We start from the raw sequence: 9,015 nt of genomic DNA, 5'->3' as shown, positions 1-9,015 counted from the left end.
TTCCCCGCGCCGCAGAGGATGCTGGGATGGTAGTTCCTACCCGCCGCGCGACCGCGCCGCGCGACTGCCCCGCGCGTGGGTGAAGAATGGAAAAAGACTCTGAGCTACAGCGAAGTCGTCTCCCTTCGGTGTTGCTCTACTATAATAAAATAGCCGAGTTCTTTCTCTCACTTTTTCACAACCAAATATTCGTCTATGTAATAGATCAATGGGAATGAAAAAAAATTGTGTGTGATTTGCTCAGAAATTGCCTTACCAAAATCGTGGCTCACCTTTTTATTTTAACATTTATTCACAAATGATTTTAAACATGAAATTTATGAAAGCAAATTTTAACAGAGAATATTCTTTTAAAGCTTTTATTTGTTTACCTCTATCAGCCTAGGACCACCTGTTATTGACAAGTCTGTAGTCCCAGAAAATCACCTTTATCATTTTGACCCTGATCTACAATGCACAAAATTATACAACAAAGGAGCTATGAGGTATCTGATTAGCCAACTGATCTTCAGCAAAGCAAACAAAAACATAAAGTGGGGAAAGGACACCCTTTTCAACAAATGGTGCTGGGATAATTGGTGACCCACATGTAGAAGAATTAAACTGGATCCTCATCTCTCACCTTATACAAAAATCAACTCAAGATGCATCAAAGACTTAAATCTAAGACCCGAAGTCATAAAAATTGCTCAAGATAACACCGGAAAAATACCTTCTAGACATTGGCTTAGGCAAAGACTTCGCGATGAAGAACCCAAAAGCAAATGCAACAGAAACAAAGATAAATAGACTGAACTTAATTAAACTAAAAAGCTTCTGCACAGCAAAAAAAATAATCAGCAGAGTAAACAGACAACCCACAAAGTGGGAGAAAAGGAGAACATAGGAACAAAGGAAAACATAGACTTACTAGGATTTTAAGGAGTTGGTGAAATTTAAGTGAAGCAGTGTTTTGATAGGTTCAAAACCGTCTAGTGCTGTGTGTAAAGGGTTCAACATCACATACGGACTGCATAGCGAGCCCAGGGTCTTGTTAACTTCAAAACTACAAAGTTAACACACACAGAGTATTGTGCTCAGAAACCCCTTCCTCCGTGTAGCCATGCCCTAAGTGTGTGGATTTATTTCTGGGTACTGTATTCTGTTCCATTTGTCTGTGTGTCTGTTTTTATACCAGTACCATGCTGTTTTGGTTACTATAGCTCTGTAGTAGAATTTGAAGTCATGTAATGTGATTCCTCCAGTTTTGTTCTTTTTGCTCAGGTTAGCTTTTGCTATTATTCTCGGTCTTTTGTGGTTCCACATAAATTTTAGAATTGTTTATTCTGCTTCTGTGAAGAATGTCATTGGTATTTTGATGGGGATTGGATTCAATCTGTAGATTGTTTTGGGTAGTATGGGTAGTATGGACATTTTTTAAAAATAAAAATGTATTTTTTATTTCAATAGGTTTTTAGGAAGCAGGTGGTGTTTGGTTACATGCATAAGTTCTTTAGTGGTGGTTTCTGAGATTTTGGTGCACCCATAACCCAAGCAGTGTATCCTGTACCCGATGTCTTTAATCCCTCACCCCCTCCCACCCTTTCCCGAGTCCCTGAAGTCCTATGTGTCATTCTTATGCCTTTGTGTCCTCATAGCTTAGCTTCCACTTATCAGTGAGAACATACAACATTTGGTTTTCCATTCCTGAGTTACATCACTTAGAATAATAGTCTCCAGTTCCATCCAGATTGCTGTGAATACCAGTATTTGCTCCTTTTTATGGCTGAGTACTATTCCATTGTGTGTGTGTGTGTGTGTGTGTGTGTATGTATGTGTATATACACCATTTTCTTTATCCTCTTGTTGATTGATGGGCATTTAGGCTGGTTCTATATTTTTGCAATTACGAATTATGCTCCTATAAATATGCATGTGCAAGGATCTTTTTTGTATAATGACTTATTTTTCTGTGGTTATTCCTCTTCCTAGTAGTCAGATTGCTGGATCAAATGGTAGATCTACTTTTAGTTCTTTAAGGAATATCCACACTGTTTTCCATAATGGTTGTACTAGTTTACATTTCCACTAACAGTGTAAAAGTGTTCTCTTTTCACCACATCCATGCCAACGTCTATTATTTTTTGATGTTTTGATTATGGCCATTCTTGCAGGAGTAAGGTAGATTTGCAGTGTAGTTTTGATTTACATTTTCCTGATAATTAGCTGTGTTGAGCATTTTTTCCATATGTTTGTTGGCCATTTGCATATCTTCTTTTGAGAGTTGTCTATTCATGTCCTAAGCCCACTTTTTGATGGGGTTGTTTTTTTTTTTCTTGCTGATTTGTTTGAGTTCTTTGTAGATTCTGGATATTAGTCCTTTGTCAGATGTATAGATTGTGAAGATTTTCTCCCAGTCTGTGGGTTGTCTGTTAACTCTGCTGATTTTTTCTTTTGCTGTGCAGAAGCTTTTTAGTTTAATTAAGTCCTGTCTATCTTTGTTTCTGTTGCATTTGCTTTTGGGTTCTTGGTCATGAAATCTTTGCCTAAGCCAATGTCTAGGTTTTTTCCGGTGTTATCTTGTACAATTTTTATGGTTTCAGGTCTTAGATTTAAGTCTTCGATGCATCTTGAGTTGATTTTTGTATAAGGTGAGAGATGAGGATCCAGTTTAATTCTTCTACATGTGGGTCACCAATTATCCCAGCATCATTTGTTGAAAAGGGTGTCCTTTCCCCACTTTATGTTTTTGTTTGCTTTGCTGAAGATCAGTTGGCTACAAGTATTTGGCTTTATTTCTGGGTTTCTATTCTGTTCTGTTGGTCTATGTGCCTATTTTTATACCAGCACTACGCTGTTTTGATGACTATGGCTTTGTATATAGTTTGAAGTTGGGTAATGTGATGCCTCTAGATTTCTTGTTTGTGCTTAGTCTTGCTTTGGCTATATGGGCTCTTCTTTGGTTCCCTATGAATTTTAGGATTGTTTTTCCTAGTTCTGTGAAAAACGATGGTAGTATTTTGATGGGAATTGCATTGAGTTTGTAGATTGCTTTTGGCAGTATGATCATTTTCACAATATTGATTCTATCCATGAGCATGGGATGTGTTTCCATTTGTTTGTGTCATCTATAATTTCTTTCAGCAGTGTTTCGTAGTTTTCCTTGTAGAGGTCCTTCACCTCCTTGGTTAGGTGTATTCTTAAGTACCTTATTTTATTTATTTATTTAATTTTTATAGGTATTGTAAAAGAGGTTGATTTCTTGATTTGATTCTCAGCTTGGTCGCTGTTGGTGTATAGCAGAGCTACTGATTTGTGGACATTAATTTTGTATCCTGAAACTTTACTGAATTCATTTACCAGTTCCAGGAGCTTTTTGGATGGGTCTTTAGGGTTTTCTAGGTATATGATCATATCATCAGCAAAAGCAACAGTTTGACTTCCTCTTTACCAGTTTGGATGCCCTTTATTTCTTTCTCTTGTCTGATTGCTCTGACTAGGACTTCCAGTACTATGTTGAACAGAAGTGGTGAAAGTGGGCATCCTTGTTTCATTCCAGTTCTCGGGGGGAATGCTTTCAACTTTTCCCTGTTCAGTATAATGTTGGCTATGAGTTTGTCATAGATGGCTTTTATTACTTTAAGCTATGTCTCTTAAACATAGAGTTGATTTTAAGTGCCTTGAGGTAATCTTCTTTGGGTTAAATCTGCTTGATGTTATATAATCTTCTTGTACTTGGATAATAGTATGTTTCCCTAGTTTTGGAAAGTTCTCTGTTATTATCCCTTTGGATAAACTTTCTCTCTTTTTTTTTTTTTTTTTTTTTGAGACAAAGTCTCGCTCTGTCACCCAGGCTGGAGTGCAATGGTGCAATCTCGGCTCACTGCAACCTCCACCTCCCAGGTTCAAGTGATTCTCCTGCCTCAGCCTCCTGAGTAACTGGGACTACAGGCACCCGCCACCACGCCTGGCTAATTTTTGTATTTTTAGTTGAGACAGGGTTTTGCCATGTTTGCCAGGCTGGTCTTGAACTCCTGACCTGATCCACCCGCCTCAGCCTCCCAAAGTGCTGGGAATACAGGCTTGAGCCACCATGCCCGGACCCTTTGGATAAACTTTCTACCCCTGTCTCTCTCTCTAGCTTTTCTTTAAGGCCAATACCTCTTAGGTGTGCACTTTTGAGGCTATTTTCTGGGTCTTGTAGGTGTGCTTCATTCTTTTTTATTCTCTTTTGTCCTCTCTGACTGTATATTTTCATGTAACCGTCTCCAAGTTCACTTATTCCTTCTTCTGCTTGGTCAACTCTACTACTGAGAGACTCTGATGAATTCTTCAGTATGTCAATTGCATTTTTCAACTCCCGAATTTCTGCTGGATTCTATTTAATTATTTCAATTTCTTTGTTAAATTTACCTGATAGGATTCTGAATCCCTTCTCTGTGTTAGCTTGAATTTCTTTGAGTTTTCTCAAAATAGCTATTTTGAATTCTCTGTCTGAAAGGTCACATATCTCTGTCTCTCTGGGATTGGCACCTGCTATTTAGTTTATTTAGTGAGGTTGTATTTTCCAAAGTGATCTTGATTCTTATGTACGTTCATCACTGTCTTGGCATCAAAGAGTTGGGTATTTATTGTTGTCTTCACAGTTTGGGCTTGTTTGTACACCTCCACCTTGAAAAGGCTTTCCAGGTATTTGAAGGGACTTGGGTGATATAATCTAAGTTTTTGGTCGCTGCAGCCATATCTACATTAAGGGCACCCCAAGCCCACTAACACTGTAGTTCTTGCAGACTCGTAGAGGTACCACCTTGGTGGTCTTGAATAAGATCCGGAAAAATTATCTGGATTACCAGACAAAGACTCTTGCTCTCTTCCCTTATTTTCTCCCAAACAAACACAGTCTCTCCCTCTGTGCTGAGCTTCCTGAAGCTAGATGAGGGGTGACATAAGCACCGCTGTGGCCACCAATACTGGGACTGGGCTGGGTCAAACCTGAAGTGAGCATAGTACTGAGTCTTACCTACGGCCTGCTGTAACCACTATCTGGCTGCCACCTATATTTGCTGAAGTCTCCAGGGCTCTGCAATCAACAAGTAGTGAAGCCAGCCAGTCTTGTTTCCTTCCCTTCAGGGTGGCAAGTTCCCCTGAGCTCCAGTGGGTCTAGAGATGATGTCCAGGACCCAGGGACTAGATTCAGAAGCCTTAGAAATATACCTGGTGGCTCTATTCTACTGCAGCTACACTGGCACTGAAACCACAAGATTAAGTCTTTTCCACTCTTCCCTCCCTTTTACCCAGGCAGAGGAGCCTCCCCGTGTCCACTACCACCACGTGCCCACAGGGAGTACTGCCAGAGTACGGCCAATGTTCCCTTAATGCACAAGGGCTCTTTAGTCAGCTTATGGTGAATGCTACCAGTCCTGGGACTCACCCTTTAGGGCACTGGACTCCCTCTAGCCCAGGGCAGGTCCATCCTGGGCTAGATATACCATCCACAAGCCGAGGCCTGGAAATTGATACCCCACAAGCCCACTTGGTGCTCTTCCTCACTGTAGTCAAGCTGGTACCTAAGCTGCAAGACAAAGTACCCTGTATACTTCCCTCTCCTTTTCTCAGGCAGAAGAAGTTTCTCGCTGTAGCCATCACAGCTGTGAATAGGCTGGGTCACACCTGAAGCCAGCCCCTCTCAGAGTCTCACCCAAGGCCCACAGCATGTACTAGTTGGTTACCACTACTGATTATTCAGGCCCCAAGAGCTCTTTAGTCAGCAGATGATGAATCTTGCCAGGACTGACTCCTTCCTTTCAAGGCAGTGGGTTCCCTTCTGGACCAGGGTGTGTCTAGAAATGTTTTCCAGGAGCTAGGGCCTGGAAAGGGGGCCTCATGACTGATACCCAGTACCCAGTCCTGCTGTGGCTGAGCTGGTATCCAAGTTGCAAGGCAAGGTCCTCTTTACTTTTCCCTCTTCTTTCCTCAAACAGAAGGAAGGGGTCTCTTTTGGACCAGCAAGCTGTGCTACCTGGGGTTGGGGCAGGGGTGATGCAAGCACTCCCTTAGCTGCACCAACTGCTCTCTGACTTGGTCATGTGTCCCCTAAACCCACTGGCTCCAATCCCAGCATATCTCCACAATTTACCTAGAAGGTGCACTCTTTGTGGCCTAGACAGCCTATCAAGTTTATTTAGGATCACAGAGCACTTTAGCCTGCGATTGCGAGGCTAACCAAGACTCAGTTCCAACTGCTGGGATGGGTGAATACCCTCTTGCTGTGGCTCTTTATAATGTTCCCTCTGTGGGCACAGGCTGAGTTCTGCCACATGTTGGCAGCGCTGAGTTCCAGTGTAAAGTCCTCCAGTTGCTGTGCTTTCCCTCCCCTAAGTGCACGATTCTCTATGCCATGTGGCCACTGCTGGTAGATGGGGAAGGGGTGGTGTCAGCAATTCGGGACTGTCTTTTCTATCCACTTCAGTGCCTCTTTCAGTGTTGTGAAGGTAAAACCAGTTACTGTGATCATCCACCTGATTTTTGGTTCTTATGAAGTGTTTTTTTGTGTAGATAGTTGTAAAATTTGGTATTCCTGCAGGAAGGAAGATCGGTGGAGGCTTCTACTTGCCATCTTGCTCCACCTGCTCACAGATAGTATTTTTGTTTTTTCAGGAGGAGAAGGCTTCCACAGGCAGTTCTTAAAAATAAAAACAAATCATTATTTCTTCCCCCCTCAACCCCCACCCCCACACTTTTTCTGGAGTCTAAAATTTGCTTCTTTGGGTACCAAAGTTTTTGCTCTTCCTTGATTATTACACACTCTGTGTGTCTCATCTCACTAACTATAATCTCATGTTTTTTTCCCAATTATTTCCTACTTTCACTCAGAGCTTTTGTCAAGAGGATTTGGGTGTAAGAGGGAGAAAAATACTTTCATAGAAAAGCATTTTTATACAACTTAACCAGGATTAAGTCTGATATCTGCTAGGCTCCCTTAAGCCAGGCTGTAGGAAAAAGAATAATGGAAGAAGAACAATGCAAGAAGCCAAGTCAAAGCAAAACTCTGAATGTTCAAAATTTTCAAAATAGATTTGTATAACTTCCCACACCTTTTGTTCCAATCATATTCAGTAGCAGCCTAATAAAGATAATCCCATTATGAGGACACCCCATTATAATCACATTGTGGGGACAACAATCAAACTACTGAGGAGTATATAACAGGAAAAAATAAGATTAATAGAGTCATGTGATCAGCTCATTGTTGAGTAACTTCTGCCATTAAAGGTACAAATTGTCAGACTGCAAATAGTCTAGAAAGCCAAACACAAAAATTCAATAGCAATAATGTATCTTCAAGGGGTGATTGAAAGTCTGATGATTTTCAGTCAGTGAAAAATGGGAACAGATGGGAGAGGTAGGGAAGGACTCCAAGCCATGTGTCCTTCCCCACCTGAAGCTTTCAGCAGGAATCATAAATCTGGCAGGCAGTATCCTCTGAAATCTGCGCAGTGTTTGCTCTTGATTGGATATTTTCCTCACATACATGTGCTGATGAGACTCAGTTGCAAGGCAGACCCTCTGCAGATCTCTGGAGTTCTTTGAATGTCTCCTCTCGGGTGGTCTTCTCTGTGTGCTCTAGCTACCTTGACTTCCCTGGACTCTCACGTCCATCTCCTCAACTTAGGGAGACCAACAGGCTATTCCTGGGTTTCTCTTCCTTGCTTCTTGGCCTAGAAACTTCCTACAAGAAAAAGCTGGGCCAATTTTAAGGTTTTCTGTCTTCTGAGGATCACTGTCCTTCAATGTTTGACATGCAATATGTTGAGGGCTGCTGTTTCATATATTTTATATAGTGTTTTAGTTGGGAGAGTAAATCCAGTCCTCAATACTTCCATTTTGATCCAAATCAAAACTCTCAGTTTAATTGTTTTCTGCTTCGAAATGAATACTTCTTTCCTTCTGGTAGTCCTTTAGTGTGTGGAGTTGAACCAGTCTAATTAGGAGGTGGGTGAGGTGTGGAATTTATTGTTGTCATGCTTCTCTCACTGCACATCAGGCTTCAGATTGCTCTGTGCTTAGGCTGGGGGCTGGCTTACTAGAGGATTTATTTCAGTGTCTACTCCAACCTCAAACTTTAGGTCTTCTCTTTTTGGTGTTCCTTAGAAAAGGCCGCACCCCCAAGCTCTTGGCCCTCTCCCAGCAGACCAGGGGTAGATTGCCCTTACCTGTTATTTGATGCTTTTTTTTGTTGCCATTGAGACAGGGTTTTGCTCTGTCACCTAGGATGGAGTGCAGTGGCATCACGGCTAACTGCAGCCACAACCACCCATGCTCAATTAATTCCCCCACCTCAGCCTTTCGAGTAGCTGGGACCACAGACACATGTCATCATGCCTGGCTAATTTTGGTATTTTTTTTCTATAGAGACAGGGTTTTACCACATTGCCCAGACTGGTCTTGAACTCTTGAGCTCAAGGATCTGCCCACCTCCCAAAGTGCTGGGACTACAGGCATGAGCCACCACACATGGCTGACAGGTGGCATTCTCTATTCTAATTAACGCTATCTCAGGCAATGTGCCCCTGAGTCTCAGGGTGGGGACTTTCCAGTGATCCAGTTTTCTCCCAGCTGTTGGTATGAGCCCAATAAATGTTCTATTTCCCTACAGGGTAATTGTTTTTTCTTTTTCTTTCTCTTTCTTGCAATGGGGCTTCACCAGGGCTCTGAAGGGTGACTGAGTTCCATGCCCTTTTTCCAGCAGCTGAAGATGTGTTTCATAGAGATACAGGGAAGAGGGATCCATTGGAGGTCTTCTTTCCTTTTCTACAGCAGCTTCTGTTCTCTCCTTCCCCCAACCTTCTCCACCACTCTCCCGCTCCACCCCATCTGCTCCATAAGAGATGCTTTCTCAGCACTGTCACTGCCTCCAAGAAAAGGAAAAACAGGCTGGGTGTGGTGGCTCAAGCCTGTAATCCCAGCACTTTGGGAGGCAGATCACGAGGTCAAGAGATTGAGATCATCCTGGCCAACATGGTGAAACCCTGTCTC

The 9,015-nt window shown here is 42.1% G+C and overlaps 2 annotated features.

Annotated features, from left to right (window-relative positions):
- Positions 69 to 158: an enhancer, noted in NCBI's record as "active region_24708". NCBI's record gives its function as "activates an Ori minimal core promoter by ATAC-STARR-seq in GM12878 lymphoblastoid cells {active_cell/tissue: GM12878}" and the evidence as "EXISTENCE:reporter gene assay evidence [ECO:0000049][PMID:35858748]".
- Positions 788 to 1,082: a silencer, noted in NCBI's record as "tiled region #7771; HepG2 Repressive non-DNase unmatched - State 21:Repr". NCBI's record gives its function as "represses a minimal TATA promoter and a strong SV40 promoter by Sharpr-MPRA in HepG2 cells {active_cell/tissue: HepG2}" and the evidence as "EXISTENCE:reporter gene assay evidence [ECO:0000049][PMID:27701403]".

The sequence above is a fragment of the Homo sapiens genome, chromosome 6 (genome assembly GCF_000001405.40).
Source record: "Homo sapiens chromosome 6, GRCh38.p14 Primary Assembly".
Taxonomy (NCBI): Eukaryota; Metazoa; Chordata; class Mammalia; order Primates; family Hominidae; genus Homo; species Homo sapiens.
This window is presented reverse-complemented; position numbering and strand designations above follow the sequence as displayed.